This window comes from Homo sapiens, chromosome X, assembly GCF_000001405.40.
Source record: "Homo sapiens chromosome X, GRCh38.p14 Primary Assembly".
NCBI lineage: Eukaryota > Metazoa > Chordata > Mammalia > Primates > Hominidae > Homo > Homo sapiens.
The window spans coordinates 108,117,552-108,133,837 of record NC_000023.11 but is presented as its reverse complement, the minus strand read 5'-3'; the positions used below and the strand labels follow the sequence as shown (position 1 = coordinate 108,133,837).

General features: G+C 40.2%; 1 protein-coding gene across 12 annotated transcripts in view, besides 1 other annotated feature; it reads right to left on the bottom strand.

Moving 5' to 3' along the window:
- The window catches only part of ATG4A (autophagy related 4A cysteine peptidase), a 65,843-nt gene that overhangs the window by 20,834 nt on the left and 28,723 nt on the right, over positions 1-16,286 (bottom strand). For 7 of the 12 annotated variants that reach the window (NR_135608.2, XM_047441801.1, XM_047441802.1 and 4 more), the window contains exons 2-4: positions 7,651-7,761; positions 4,986-5,057; positions 2,480-2,578 (exon numbers count right to left, since the gene is read on the bottom strand). Coding sequence is in view for 10 of the 12 variants with exons in the window: in XM_047441801.1 (XP_047297757.1) it covers positions 2,480-2,578; positions 4,986-5,057; positions 7,651-7,761 (282 nt within the window). In the remaining 2 variants the exon portion in view is untranslated. Of the gene's footprint in view, positions 1-2,479; positions 2,579-4,985; positions 5,058-6,743; positions 7,046-7,650; positions 7,762-16,286 lie in introns of all 12 variants that reach the window. The other 5 variants (NM_001321287.2, XM_011530842.2, NM_001321290.2 and 2 more) reach the window with 1 other exon arrangement.
- Positions 6,394-6,957: an enhancer, noted in NCBI's record as "OCT4-NANOG hESC enhancer chrX:107370111-107370674 (GRCh37/hg19 assembly coordinates)". NCBI's record gives its function as "activates a minimal SCP1, AML or CMV promoter by ChIP-STARR-seq in naive H9 embryonic stem cells {active_cell/tissue: H9 hESC(naive)}" and the evidence as "EXISTENCE:reporter gene assay evidence [ECO:0000049][PMID:30033119]".

The following is a 16,286-nucleotide window of genomic DNA, read 5'->3' as shown; positions in this document are numbered from 1 at the left end:
AACAAAAAGTTGACCAAGGAACTGACTTAACCCAAGGGCTGGAGCTGGATAAATATTACATAAAAACAATGTCACAAAGGCCTTTCTGGCCAGTTACTCAGTGAACAGGAGGTCACCACAAAGCCCGGCAGTACATCGGTATATAAGCCAGATGCCATAGCATCTCATCTCCACATAGACAGCAATGGCTTTTGCTCTTATATTTTGGCAGCATTGACAAAAGGATCTCACGGGTAAGAAGTGCTATTCTGATATACGACAGTTCACAGGGGAATATACATAGCTCACAACTAAGGAAGCTTAAAAAAATTGCATGCTGTCGTTTTTACACCACCTTTTAAAAAGTCCATGCTGAGCTTTGGGAAAACAAATACCTTTGCTATCAGGTGTTCAATGTTTCCCTAAGACCAATGCCAAAATAACTGCATCTGTACGGATACCATCTGTGCCTTCAGCACAGCCCCCTAAATCCTACAGAGGCCATTCGTAACTTGCTGAGGACAACTGCAAAAACCCTATGTAATCACTGCAATCCTCTCAGCTCTAGAAACGCTGTCTAATGGGACAGATTTTTGAGGCTTAGTTTGCGTCCAAGACAAATTTTTCTCCTGAGGTTTTAAAGAGTTTGAAATAAAGACTGAACTACACTTGAAGCCAAAGGCCATTATCTCCAGACTCTTCAGTTGTCTTTTGCTTCTAGTGTTTCTAAAACCAAAGTTTTTAACTTTGGATCCAGCACAGCCCTCAGAGGGTGAACCACATCCAACTTCTTTTCATTAGCTACCAAATTGTCCAAGTCTGGGGAAATCCTAATTAGCTGGCTGCTAAATAGCACTAAATATTCACTGACGACAATGGCAAGTGAATACTCTACCTTAATTTTAAAATAGCTGAATAGGAAACAATCCAAAAGACATCTTTACAAAATTACTCTTTTAACTCATCTTAGCTACAAGATCTATTTCCAACTTCTTCCTGCTACTTGATTTTGTATTGAAACAATTGAGATTGCTGACTGTGGAGTTTTTTTTTTTTTTTTCCAGTTTGCTCCCTACTTCCAGAACTCACTTCCAAAATAATCATTTTGAAGTGTGTTATAAATGAAAAAAAAATTAAATAGTAAGAATGGATCTACACCAAGAAGCATGTATAAACAAGGGAAATCACTGGACAAGGAGTTGGAATATCTTTATTTTATCCCCAAATCTTTGATTTCTTGCGTTTTACCCTGGGTAAATCACATCACTTCCCTGAGCCTCGGTTTCCTCATCTGTAAAATGGAAATTATTATACTATCCAGGGGAAGCAGGATATCCCAAACCCTGAAGAGAAGGTAACAAGCCCTGAAACCTCCCTAGGCCCTTCTCCAATCCTCTCTGAAAGCTGTAGCAAAATCTGTGAGTTTGCACAGTGGGAAAAGGAAAACGATGTTTCTATACTTCTGAACCTCAATTAGCAACAGCCAATGAGTTCAGCAGCCCAATCTCATCCAAAGTGTCCTTTCGCTCTCTCATCCCCAAGTCCAACTGGACCTTCACCCAAGTGCCTGAACTGGCATCCAGCCAACCCCATCCTTCAGATGCCCATAGGGAAGTATGTACATGTCTTAAGAAAGCAAGACTCAAGAGTTCCAACAACCAGCCAGGCGCGGTAGCTCATGCCTGTAATCCTAGCACTTTGGGAGGCCGAGGCGGGTGGATCCTCTGAGGTCAGGAGTTCGAGATCAGCCTGGCCAACATGGCAAAACACCATCTCTACTAAAAATTCAAAAATCAGCCAGGCGTGGTAGCAGGCACTTATAATCCCAGCTACTCAGGAGGCTGAGGCGGAGAATTGCTTGAACCCGGGGGTCAGAGGTTGCAGTGAGCCGAGATCGCACCACTGCACTGCAGCCTGGGAGACAGAGCGAAACTCCGACTCAAAAAAAAAAAATAGTTCCAACAACCATTATCAGAAGGCTTTCTTAATTAAATGTCCTCCCAAGGAAGCAAATTTAAAGATTCCTTCATCATCAGCTGGACATCCTTAGTGAACCAAAACCAAAATAGCGCCAGCTCCCTCTATGCACTTCCTTTAGGTCACTTACATCCTTCACCAGGCAGATATCTTAAATGAGGTCAAGAAACAGACTTAATCACCACACCCTTCTTCCTGCTCCCTTTGTTATCTTGCATTTCTAAGGACTTACTCAAACAATAGCAAAGATGGAAAGGATAAATGACATACCTCCCTCGATGTTCAGTTCTGTCCCAGGAAAATAACTCCCTGGCTTGGTGACTCACAAGGAAACATTAGCTGTTTCCTTCTTATGAGGGGCTTTGTTGACTTGTCAGCCCCACCACTTGAGCTTGCAGAGAGCATTTTAAGACCCTCAAGTTTGTTACTGAGTGTTCCCAAGGCTCAGCATCAAGCTAAATCAACAGCAGCAAGTGATACTGCAGAGGTCTCTGAGAAAGTTTATAAAACAAATTTAACTCACCCCTTCCCAAGTGTCTACAGATAAGGGCTTGAGCCAGCATCATCTGTCCACAGCGTAGCATACATCCCCAACCAGCATCTGATGAAGGGCCCGTTCCACCTGTTGGCAAAATGGAAGGGAATTAATATGGGTTCCTCAAATTGCCCTTTCCTGAAACATCAGCATATTTGGGACTCACACAAGACAGGTAAATATATATACTCTGAAAAGTGAGGTGACAGATACACCCACAGATCAAACAAGATTTGGGTATATGGTTGGAACTTGCAAACATAGTGCTGAGTCAACCAAAACAGGTTCTATGGCCAAACATAAAACAAGCAAATGAACTAAATGTGTCCCTTATGTTTTCTGCTTGAAGACTTCTAGGTATACATGCAATTTTGGTAGGTGACTGCCATGTATGAATACCAACCCTTAGTCCATTCCATGTCATCATCTGCCAGACCCAAACCTTGCCTTGCATAGCTCACTTGCATGGCCCTGAAATTCTCAGGGAAGCCAGTCTTACTTAGATAAAGAACAAATACTACCAAAGGCAATCATCAAAATGGTCAAAGAGATTTGGAAGGCTCATGACTATTCTGAATATACACTATGAAGATCTGAACAGCAAGAAGGACATTGTAAAATAGGGGAAAGATCCCTAGATGAGGCATCAGAAGACCAGTCTCTAGTTATCTAATCTAAATCTCACCTATAGGCTGAGCATAATAGTACATACTCTGCCTACTATCAGTGGGTATTGTAAGAACTGAGAGAATATCTGTGAAAGTGTTCTAGAACCCATAGAGGATGATGCAAATACTTGATGTTTTGAGTATGATCATAATTTAAACCCATATTAATAAATTAGAAATGTATCTTTAAAAGGTATAAAATTAGTTAATAAACGAAATAAGACAATAGGTTCCATTTTAAGAACACCTTATGCAAAGAAAATCCCACATTTGAGGCCAGGGTGAGCTCAATATCCTTTTCCAAGGGGCCAATGAAATCAGATAACTTGTATGGCAGAGAGGATATTTTGTTTTCATTGTTTTCTTTTCCCAGTGTGGAAGTGGAAAAATATGCTAAACATGATCTCAGAAGACTAACTTCAAAGGGGGTCATCAACCTTGTAGGACAAGTGGGTCAAGGTGGTCACCCCTTTCTTTTAGTTGTGGGGACTGAAGGAGAGTTACTACAAGAAGATGGGAAGGAGGGAGCCAATTTATGACCTGGAAGGGGTGCCTTTTGGCTCTTGCTAATGCTGGGATTATTGGCCAGATTAGTATGGAAAAGATGCAATGAGGCCCACATAAAGAAGAGATCATCTATTGCCAAAATATTGGCAGAGTAAAATTAGAAATATTTTCCAGCCTTGCAAAGAGCTCCTCAGCCAGAGAAAGTTAACAGTTCAGAACCACTGGTTACTAAAGATTGTTCTTTTGTTTGTTAGTGACTGGGGTATTTCTGGGGAGAGCAATAAAAAAAAAAAAAAAAAAAGGGCCGGGAGCGGTGGCTCACGCCTATAATCCCAGCACTTTGGGAGGCCGAGGTGGGCGGATCACGAGGTCAGGAGATCGAGACCATCCTGGCTAACACAGTGAAACCCTGTCTCTACTAAAAATACAAAAAATTAGCCGGGCGTGTTGGCGGGCGCCTGTAGTCCCAGCTACTCGGGAGGCTGAGGCAGGAGAATGGCGTGAACCCAGGAGGCGGAGCTTGCAATGAGCCGAGATGGCGCCACTGCACTGCAGCCTGGGTGACAGTGCGAGACTCCGTCTCAAAAAAAAAAAAAAAAAAAGAAAGAAAAGAAAAGTCTGTGTGACCTTCATTTTTGGCACTGAACAGAAAGGTTGATTTCATTCTAGTTTCCTCTTAGAAGAGTAGATTTCACCATTTGTAGGCCCTTTTCCTACAGGGCCATGATACTAGGAAGTGGCCACCCTACTTGCAAATGTGTTGTATATCCTTTATGAAGACAGCATATTCACTTCACCTATTGAGCTGTCCTTTTTTCTAGTTGACAGCTGGTAACAGCCTAGAATTAGTTCCAAGGAAACTACTGTAATTTGTCTCTCAATGGCAAGGTGCTTTCATGTCATAAGGGGGAAAAAAAACAAATAAATTATTTTCTTTCTTTCAAGACACAATTTTCATTAATAATCATGTAGTTCCACAAAGCAGTGGATTGTAATTTAACAGATATTATACAAATTAAAAGATTATGTGATTTTCCCCCTTAATCTCAAAAGTATAACAAGTAATATCATCTGGTGCCTGAACACTTGGAGGTGGTGTCAAAAGTATACTGTCATAATCCCTCAATGAAATAGAGCCATATGTGAAAGGATACTTTAGCAATGAAACTTTTGGATGAAGTGTAAGATTTACCTAGTCTCCTCAATCAAATTCTTTGCTATAGTGAACTGTTAATTCTGAGGTTTCTATGAAGTCACTGATAACCTCAGGCAAGCTATCCACAAGGAATAAAGCACAGTAAAACAAATGATTTACCTACCAATTGGTGAAAATTTCCTTCTGTATGTAAACCATAGACGAGCACTTATATCAGACAACAGCTTAGATTTTTCTGTAATTAAATGTAAAATTAAAATTAAATCACCATATCTAAAAATACCCACCTTTACTTCTGAGCCAGCTACTAACTTAATTTCAAATAACCAGTCAATTCCATTATTATGGGGCTAGGTAAATTCACAGGAAACCCATTCTTATTTTAGCCAAATAATTTCAGTATTTCTCCCAACCTATAGTTTGACCAGAGCTATTTGACTGGTATAATGACCTTGGGTAGCTCCTGTCATCTTTTCACTGAGTTCCACAGTCCTGGCAGTTACAAACACTGGGATCATTGCCAAAAGACAAGGAATAAGAAAATTAAGGATCCTAGAGAACCCACTAACAAGACTATCAGCTCCAGCCTGAATGATGGTTGGTTGGATCTTGCATCAGCACCCATCATCCCTTATCTAAAACTAGAGGTTTGGCTGGGCCCAGCGACTCACACCTGTAATCCCAGTGCTTTGGGAAGCTGAGACAGGGAGATCGCTTCAGGCCAGGAATTCAAGACCAGCCTGGGCAACATAGTGAGACCCCATCTCTACAAAAAAAATGAGGTATGAGGATCACTTGAACCCAGGAGTTCGAGATTGCAGTGAGCTATGATCACCACTGTACTCTAGCCTAAGTAACAGAGAGACCCTGTCTCAAGCAAAACAAAATAAAATAAAACAAAACAAAAACTAGGGGTTGGCTTGTTTGTGTGGATGCATGTGTGTCTGTTCATGCACACATGCATGTTTAAATAAAAAGGAAATGTCTTACTAAGCAAATTAGGTGTGTAAGAAATGTATAGCAACTAGTGCAACTGGCACTTATAATCTAAATGCATATATAATATCACAAATGTTTTTGTGTCTTTTTTCAAAGCATGCTTTCTTGTATTTTATGACATAAATTTACTTTGATGGGCCACAAATATGGCTTCCACATTTTTATCTGTACTTAGATGTGGCTGTCTTTCTTAGTCACCTCTCTCCCTCTTCTCAACATGTCTGTATTATATTCTGTATAAAACTTATAGTCACTGCACTTAAAAAGAACAAAGGGAAATCTACTTTTAGCCAATAGTTTCTATTTTCTGTCTTCCTTTTCTTTGGAGCAAATCGGAAAGTTGAGCTATCTGTATTTTCCCTCCCTTCCATGCCCCGGTGCCTAGCATATTCAGGGAAGCAGATGTATAATGGTTAAGAGTAAGACACCCGAAGTCATACTTTGCTTGGGTTTGAACCCTGACTCTGCTACTTACCAGCTGTGTAACCTGGTTAACTTAACCTCTCTGAGCTTCAGTTTCCTCATCCATAAATGGGGAGAATTATAGTACCTACTTCATTGAGTTGTGAGTATTCAAAAGATAATACACTTAAAGTGCTTGGATGGTGACTAGTATGCAGTGAACCTATAACAGATGTTAGCTGTTATGTGCTCGTCCTCTTAAATGTCCACACCCTCACTCCTGCCTCTGACAGTCTTTATGCCTTCCTGTGTGGCTTTACGCTGGGAAAGTTGTATGGACATTTTAGCAATGATTTCATTTTAAGAGGCGTTTCCCAATTTAACATTTGAATACGAGTAGATTTGGCAACCTGGGGATTCCTGTTGTCATGGAATGCAGAATTAGAAGAGATCCCCTCAAATCCCCTCATTTTAAGTACCACTGAAGGAAGTTAAGATCCAGAAAGAGACAGTGACTTACCTGAGTTAGAAGAGTCTGAATACAAAAGGTCTCCTAATTGCTAGCTCCAGGCTTTCCACTGTTCAGAATTCTCCAATCAAAATAATGAAGCCAGGCTCAGGAGGAGCTCCACAATGCCTAACTTCCTCTCCTGCCTTTTCATCAGCCTCTTCCTGTTCCTTCCTCCACGCTAAGTGAGGGCCTCTGAAGAGGATGTCTCCTCAGAAAGACACAAATCTCAGAGCTGCCTCTTTCCAAGCTCTGGCTTTATCTGGGTGCTGGGCTGTTAGCAGTTTCAGGTTAAAAGGTCTTTCTTTCCCAATCTATAAGAATGTAATGGTAAGGAAGAAAAATTCAAGCCTCCTTTCCATCTAGCTGCAGTGGCTAAAAGTTCTATACAAAATCAGAATAAACTGAGACAGTGCTACGGTCAGCAAAAGATCTAAAACTTAAGAAAAACTTAGGTCTGATATTGTTTCTGAGGTCCATGGGTTGTCTAGAAGTCCTTGGGTGTTTTTATCTAGCCAGACAAGCATGTGAGAGTAATAAATATGTAGACCAGTCACGAAAGGCTAGAGACTGATTAGTGATACCAGGAGTGGGTCCGTGTTTTTTGAAACCCAAGGCTTCTAGAATTTGGGGATTCTCCTTTAAGGAAAAGAATAAAAATATATTACTTGTGCAAATTGTGCAAAAACCTATAACCATGTAAACACACTACTAGGGCCTTTCAGGGCCTTGGAAGGGGCCTGTCCAAGCAAAAGTCCTGAGGCTTAAGCTCCTTTGACTACAAGTTAAATCCACCTCAGAGTAGCATTAACATTGAGCAAGACAATGCTCTGCCAACCCAAGAAGAAAAAGTACAAACCCTGAACCACAGGTGCCTACCTCATCTGGGTTCTTACAGACAAATGCTACCAAATCTTACCTGTTTTAAGGAGATGCTGCTTCCCTAAGATCCATACCAGCTCATCTGTATCTGGATATTCTTCTAGGTAGTCAGTGAAAATAGTAATCTGATCTTCATACTTGGATAAAACTGAAAGAAAAGGAAAGAAACAAGTAAAATTTAATAGAAGGGGCTTATCTTTGTGGTTGACTGATTATTACCTTTACCCTGAAGGTGAAAGGTCAGCAGCTTGAATCTAATGGAAACAATTCCTTTTCCTTGAGGAACAAACACACTCACAAGACCTCTAAATCCTTTAGTTGAAGGATTTCCTCTTGACCATCTCTTTTGACCTTCCCTTTCTCAAGGTCCCATTTAACACCATCTCTAAACAATCATTTGGCCACAGTTACTTCAAAACATTTTATACCATGGGGCCTTCTTTGTAAATAGCCAATTATCGAGCTTCCCCTACTCTGAGTGTGTTGAGGTGATACAATACCTGCATACCTAACTCCTGCCCATGTCACAGGGAATATCATGAGGTTTGTATTGTGAGGTTTCTAGTGGCCAGTGGCTTGGAAGGTGCTGTGACAAGCCTGAATGTTTGTACACCTGTGTATATGGTAATATTTTAGCTGAAAGGCCAGATGTTTTCACAGTATTTTTATTTGCCATTTTATTCACATATGGCTTCTGCAAAGAAGGATCTTGAAGTTAACAGTAAACATAACTTGTTCTTGGAATTCACAGATGACTATTAAGATATAATAAGAAATATATATTTAGTTTCTATCACTGTTTTCTGGCACAGAGCTCCTAAAACCTTTGTTATGGTGAGTGACAGGGATGCTACGTGCATCTTTTCTTCTGAAATTTGGCCTTTCTCCCTGGTTCCTGACATAGAGCTCCTAGTGAATTTCCTGGGTGATAAGAGCATCTTCCGTTCTAATGAAGTATCTCTTGGTGGGCTTCTGGATGGAGGCTGGTTACCAGAAAGACTAAGCCATGATCAGAAGCTTGGAACTTTCAGTGCCAACCCCCATCTCTTTAAATAAATAAATAAATAATAATAATTTTCTGAGAGAAATTATATTATAAACAGTAAATATATTTCCAAGCTAGTCCACAAAACCTATTTTAATCTGTAACTAGAAAATTTAAATTGATAGTTTATTTCACAGTTTATGGTGCTATATCTATGAGAAAATATATTTCAAGTTCAAAGCTAAGATATTCAACATACACCTCTCAACTCATGGGGGCTCCTCAGCCCCTGTGAGGAAGGGAACACAGAGAAAGTAGGGGGCCATTTGTACAACTACAAGTAGCTGCAGAGATTCTCTAAAAGAAATCCCTTGAAAGGATAAATTGTTTTATTTTATTTTTTGTTTTCTAAGGCCAGGGCATGTTGTTTTCATAGAAATAAATGCTCCTAAATATAAATGAGTCTGTTCTGATAAAAAAAAAATGAGTCTGTTCTGATCATATAAATATTTTGTTGGAAGTTGAAATTATAATTTGTACAAGTACTTTTAGAAACACAGCTGAGATCAAGACCATCCTGGCCAACATGGTGAAACCCCATCTCTACTAAAAATACAAAAATTAGCTGGGCATGGTGGTGCATGCCTGTAGTCCCAGCTACTCGGGAGGCTGAAGCAGGAGAGTCGCTTGAACCCAGGAGGCCGAGGTTGCAGTGAGCCAAGATCGCGCCACTACACTCCAGCCTGGTGACACAGTAAGATTCCATCTCAAAAAAAAAGAAAAAAAAAGAAAAAGAAAAAGAAACACTGTTAACCAGGGATATTACCTTTCTTAAAATATCTTACAGAATTCCAGTCATTCAAGGATTTAAGTAGCCCTTCTCCTCAATATATTTTAATTATTAAGATGATAGTCTCTGCAGTGTTTCAAATCTAAAGAAGTTAGAAACAGCCATTTTGTTCCCCAGTGAAAATTCATCACTACCAAATCTGACAGGGAGCCTGTGCCATCTTAGCCTCTCTGCTGCTGGCCTCAGCCCCTGGCCCATGCCCAGGAAATACCAGGCTAAAAATGATTATCCAGGTCAGGCCATCCCCAGGAGGTGGTGGACTGAGGCAGGGCAAATCACACTGTGCACCTCCCCACCCTACCCTCTACCCCTCACAGGCAGAAGAAATCAGGTTTAAATGAACATATAGTGTAGCCTAAAAAGAGAAAGAAAATCAGAAAATAAGTAACTTGAGTAGACTGTAGGAAAAGGGCAACCTCTCTGGCATTGCCTTGGTAGGGGTGAGGATGGATGGCATTGGATGAATGTACAGCATGTATGCATATAAGCCTTGGGTCTTTTTTTAGTACTGGCCAAAGAAATACCATTTCTCTATTGCCAACCCTGTCTCAGTGAGTCACTGGCCAGTTATCTCGTCAAATTAGTAAAGCCCTTTAAAGCTTGTGACAACTGCCTTGCTTCATTTGGGATGGCTCTGATCAAAATGGCAGCCAAAGAATTTTACTCTTGCACTTCACCCCCTCTCAGGCCTAGCTAGGCCAGCAAGAAGGTCATTACAGTCTCTATTCTTCTTGATTCTTCTCTTAAAAGATAGACACCCCGAATGCAGTATGTGAGGCCACAGCCATCCTTGAATCGAGGCTACATGTATAGAACAAATGAAAGAACAGAAAATGAAATTAACAGAAGCAAGAAGCAGTGAGATGGGAAGATTATGTACATGGGGGTCTAGGGAGGAAAGAGGAACAGGTCCTACATAGGGAGAACTCATATGAAAAAGCAATCTGGGAAGTGGATGAGGTACAGAAGTAAAATATCATTTCCAATACAATTACTTCTGATTAACAGCAATGCTTTTTGTTTTAAATTTTTCACAAACTACCTTTGTCTTGCCTTTAAAAATAAACAAACCAGATATCAGGCTGATATGAGTTCCCTGCCTTTTCTGTCTGTTTAAAGAGATAGGGACTATACAGGCAGAGCTACAAATCTATAACTTGGTGGACCAAGAATTAGTTTCTACAAGGTCTCAGGGACAACAGGCTTCACCCTGTTCCACTGTACTTTAATAATAATTATTGTACTGAAGTCTCTGCTGGGTTAGTTTAGTGGCCAGCTCATAATTAGACAAAGATTTCCTTAAATTCCTGGAAACAAAAAGCCTCCCAGTTTTGGCCAAGGGACTCTGTGTACATGTTGGGGCATGTCTTCAACACTCAGCCACACAATGTCTTCTGCCTTTGTCTTCACTTTCTGCTTATGCCAAGCTCAAGATCAGCCAGAGTGAGAGCTTAGGACCTATTGAGGTCTTTCCGGAGCATGTGCACAGCCCTATGCATGCGTGTAATCTTGTAGATTCCCAGGAATATGCCCAAGCTTTCCAAAGCCCCAAGGAATCTCATTCCCCAGCTTTTTCTTCAAAGCTTTGTGGTTAGCTGGAAATGTTATCCATTGCTTCAGGCAGCTGAGAAGTTAATTGACTGCCTCTAATCATTTTCCAAAAGAAAGGCCCTGGGGAAAAGGCTTTCTGTAGCTCTGTGTCAGGCCAAATAAATAAAGTCTTACAAGTGGGGGGTCTTCTGGGGGAACTCCAGACAGATCGAATAATGACAATTCTCTAGAAATGAGGCTGTAAAGGAGTCCCAACCCTATTCTGTCTCCTCTGGTGGCTGCCAGGCTGCTGGTTTTCCCTGTGAGTGAAGGCTATTGATTTTGAAGCCAGGGAGAAAGGGATGGGAATAGGGTGAATGAAAATACTAATGCCACAAAGCTCACTGGTCTTATCAACATGCAGCCATTTTTCTTGAGTAAATGTTCCCTGGATTGCTGCAAGCCTTTAGTTCTAGAGTTCTGAAAAATTTGATGCTATTTCTGCCAGTTTTTTCATTGCTATTATGGAGAGAATTTTCAGAGGTACTTACTCTGCCATTTTTGCCAATGTCTTACTTTAATAATATGGCTTCCGGCAATTGACTACATTTCTAAGGGTTATTTGGAAAATTGCAAGTAAATGAGAAAATCACTTTGAAAAACAAATTTTCTGACAGGGCTTAACAAAAACACTTATACCTCATGACATGAATTTCAGTCAATTCATCTTAGATTCTGTGGAGCTTGTGCTAAAGAAAGAAGCACCACAAACTCTCTAAAGTGAAATTAAAAGGCCATAGAATCTCAGGGCCAGGAGGGGTCTGAGATATAGGATAACCTCCTTATAGGTCTTTCAATTCTAACAGCATGCCAGGACACTGCTGGTGCTAAAACAGCCTTCTCAGCAATGCATACATCAAATCACATCTTAAAGAACTTGGGACAACATCCACAGGGGATAGGTAGGGTAACAGCTGAATATTCATTCATATTTCATTCCATAAACTTTATAGAGTATACCTACTATGTGTTAAGTATAGAGGGTAAAACATCAGTGAGATACAGTCTCCACCTTCCAAAAGCTTTTTAGTGGAGAGGCTAGGTCTGGAAACAACTAACAGAAGTGCAATAAGTGAAAGGAAAGTGATGTGGAAGACAGGGAAAGAAAAGGAAATAAATACAGTAATTAATTCCAACTGGGGGTGAATAGGCTTTCTACAACCTAGAAAAGGTGGCATCAGAGCTGAGCCTTAATGGAAATAAGATATAAGTGGTAAGGGGGACGGGAGGGAATTCCTGATTGAGGGAACACCGAAAGGGCTTGGCAAGCAACTGAGTGTAGGGTGGGGCAGGGGAGAGTGAGAGAGAGTCAAAAATAACTTGTAGTTTTCAAGTGTTGGTGATGAAACGGTGGCAGAAAACCATGGGGGTGGGTAGGGAGATAATAAGCTTGGTCTAGCCAGAATCTGTTGGACTCAGTGGATTTGTGGACAGGGGTTTAAAAAACAGTGAAGGGAAAGTCAACCTGCACAGGGCTTTTGAAAACAGGCATGATAGATGGCAGGTTAATTAGCAGGGCCTGGGAAAGCAGGAAGACAGCCAGAAGACCAAGGCTCTGGCCCAGCCTGCAACATGCTTTCATCCCCTTCCTCCTGGGTTCACTTACTCCCCTGTTAGTCCCCAGCTTCTGCTCACCTGTGCACAGGCCTTGCCCCATCTTCATTTGTCTTCCACCCTGTGACCTGCTTTTCTGACAACCAAGAACTTAGAAAACAGAAGATTGGGCAAAAATTCTTAGCATTTCAAGTGGATTTTCACAATCAAAACAGCAAGTTTTCTTGAATTTACTCAGCAAGTCACATCCTAGCAATGCTAGGTTGTCAAATAATGCAAAAGACATGAATGATTTCTCTACAGACTGGTATAAACTTTGACTTCCTAAGACAACAGTGAAATTTTCAAACTTACATTAGAGAATCTTAACCAAAGAGTTATCCTTCAGCTAGAGAGGACTTTATGGGATTCTATTTAACTGACTGGTGTTAGCAGTGGTGGAGCAGAGGAGGCTACACCTGATAAATTTCAGGGCAAGTCAGCAAAGTAACCAGTCTGGTTAGCAAGGGACAATTGTTAAGCTATAAGACTCTGGTTTTCAGCTAGAAAAATTAATCAGGCCATAGATAATTTGGCCCCAGAAAATATGACATTTCTTACAGATTTCAGTTAATTCATCCTACTGACATAATGGTAATCCCACTGACAAATGTAATGCAAAATTGGGCTATTTCTGTGTTTCCTTTAAAGTGAGGCTTTTGAAAATCTTATTCCCTTTTTAAGTGTATTTTTCTTGTTGTTTTCACTTAGGGATAAATTGCTGCCTGCTGTCTGCTGAGTGAAATGCATTTGGAAACGTCTATGGGGAAATGAGATTCCATACACAAACTGGTCAGGAATGTACTAACACATAGACCACTGCACCTCTGAATTGCTGCCTCTTTTTGCCTTTGCTAAGATAGCTCTGCTCTTTTTTGATAGATGCCATTTCCAGAAGGATAAAAAGACTAGCTTTGAAAGGAGAGTCTAGATGCCTCTGTGATAACAAGGTGCTGCTCAGAGGATGCCGCCTTTGTAAAGGCTATCGTTTTTGTTGATAAGGCATACAAAAAGGGTAGCACACTGGATGTACTGATGAAGAAAAATATTTGGTTGGCAATATAATTCAAGACTAGAGGCACCTTTTTCACAAACTGAGGTGAGAATCACCTTGATTCTTCAACAGGTTTTGTTGTTTAGAATCAACCTGCTGGTCAGTTGTTACTGGGAAATTGGAGGAAAGCATGATTGAATTCCCAAGGAGGACAGTTTCACATTAGTGCCGCTGCCAAGCCATGCAGTGGGTTAAAAGAAAGCTTCCATGGTACTGTATCTTTGATTTTGGACAATAACCAAACTAAAAAGCAACAATACTCAAATACTGAGCTCATGGCTCATTTAGGAATCAAGACACCATGAAAATATTTAATCAAAATGAATAGTGTGTCGACTTATTTTTCTTTAATATCCAGCATGGTGAGGAGAAGGAGGAAAAGGAAAGGGAAAAGGAGGAAATTCCTACATCCCTGTTAGAAATAGCTCTATTCTAGGAGCCCCAAAATTTGTGTTCTAGTCCTGCCCTGCCACTTAATATATGACCTTAGAAAATCTACTGCACTTCTCTGGACCTCAGATTCTCCATCTATAAAATGAGCAGTGTGTTTTCAAACAGCACATCCTAATTTATCAGTGGGTGGTGAAATCTATATAGGGGGTTGCAATCAGCATTTTTAAAAAATGAAATTGAATAGAATAGAAAAGATCAGTATACTGCAGATAAGAAGTATTGTTTCATGAAACTTGTTTGTGTGTATAAAAACCACGTTGCAATGTAAAATGTATTTCTCATTGTGTTGTTATGATAAAAAAAAAAGTTAGAAAGCCACCGGTCCACACCTACACTGTCCAATACAGTAGCCACTAGTCACATGCAGCTGTTTAATTAAAATTAAAGACAAAAATGCAGTTCCTCAGTCACACTAGCCACATTTCAAGCACTCAATAGCCATGTGTGGTTGGTGGTTACCGTATTGGATAGCACAGATACAGAACAGTTTCAGAATCTCAGAAAAATTTACTGGACAGTTTTATTATAAGGAGTTTTTTATGGTTCTGTAGTACGTGGAGGCAGGATGGGGTGTTAGGAGGAATACCCCGAGCCCTAGGAAGAGAAGATGTGTTCACTTGTCTCTCTTAAGAGAGTCTGTATGTGAACTTCTAAATAAATGAACCAACAATTATTTATTAAGTTCCAAACTTGGTTCTATGAGGAATACAAAGGAAGCATCCTCATAAACATTCACTGGATGTTAAATGAACCAGTGAAGGCATCATAATATCATAATCGAATTAAAGATAGGAACCTTATGTAAAAGAGTTAATAATAAAGGGTAATGTACAGACAAGTGTTAATAATAACTAAGTGCTGTCAAAATGCACAAAAGGAGGAAATTGAGCACTGGAGTCATCAGGGAAGATTTTAAGGAGCGAGTAGAATTTGGACTGGTCTTTAAATTATTCCTTGAATTTGGGTGAGCAGAGACAAGAGGAGAGAATATTCCAGATGACAGCACCATACATTTACATGCATTGGAGAGTGGGGTAGGTTCTGGGGGATATTGACAAATGAGATGAAAGAGGTGGCATGGGACTAGATTCTGGAAGGTATAAAGCCAGCCAGTGGAGTCCAACTCTTGGTAAAGCTATTGACAGTTTTCAGAGCACTTTCACATGATTCTGGTGACAGCCCCTTGAGAGGGACAGGGCAGGGACCATTACCTCCATTTTAGAGTTGAGGGAACTGAGTCTCAGAGAGGTGATATGACTTGCCCAAGATCATATAGCTAGTGAGCAGTATAATCAAGATTCAAACCCAGTTAATATTACTCTTCATCCAGTATTCTTCCCACTATACATTGCTGTTATGAAAAAAAAAGCTGGATTCTAAGCACAGGAGATAAGGAGACCAATGAGAAAGTCGTTGCAACAATCCAGGCATAAAGTGTTGAAGGCCCGGCCTAAGGCAGCAAGAAACCAGATGCTCTGGTTATATAACACACTATAAAACAAACTGACAATGCAATACCCACTGTTTATAAGGGACAATAAGAGCAGACAGTCTGAGGTTAGAACATTATAGTTATGTTTAACTGAAAGTGATCTAAACTACTCCCAGAGGAATAAATATTAACAATATAATTCACATACTGTGTCTGGATTTTTCCAGACAGCTGAAAGCAATGTTTTGGACACGGTTCCTAAGCAAACAACACTTTATATGTCTATACATTATTATGAGGCACTTCTGTCTTGGTAGTGTTTCTTTCCCCTGTCAATTTCTATTTTCATTTTTCAGAACTAATTGGTCATATAATCTGTTACCTCATCTAGATTTCCAGTGAGAAAAGACAGGTGCAAAAATGTAAAAGAGCTAAAGGCCTTAGGGTTTTTCCACACTACTTAGCAAAACTATAGGCTTAGCAATTAATTAGTTAATAATGATTTACTAAGATATGCCATTGCCAGACTAATGTTACAGGATCTCTCTGCTGTTGACAATAAAATGCTAAACATCTTCCATGGGCTTCCAAGACTGTTCCACCTGACAGGAATCAAATATAAACTCATCAACGTGGCACTTAAAGCCCTCTCTAATAAGGCCCACTTCGTAAATTTCCAGTTGTTTCCCATTACTCATTACTCCTTCATAATATCT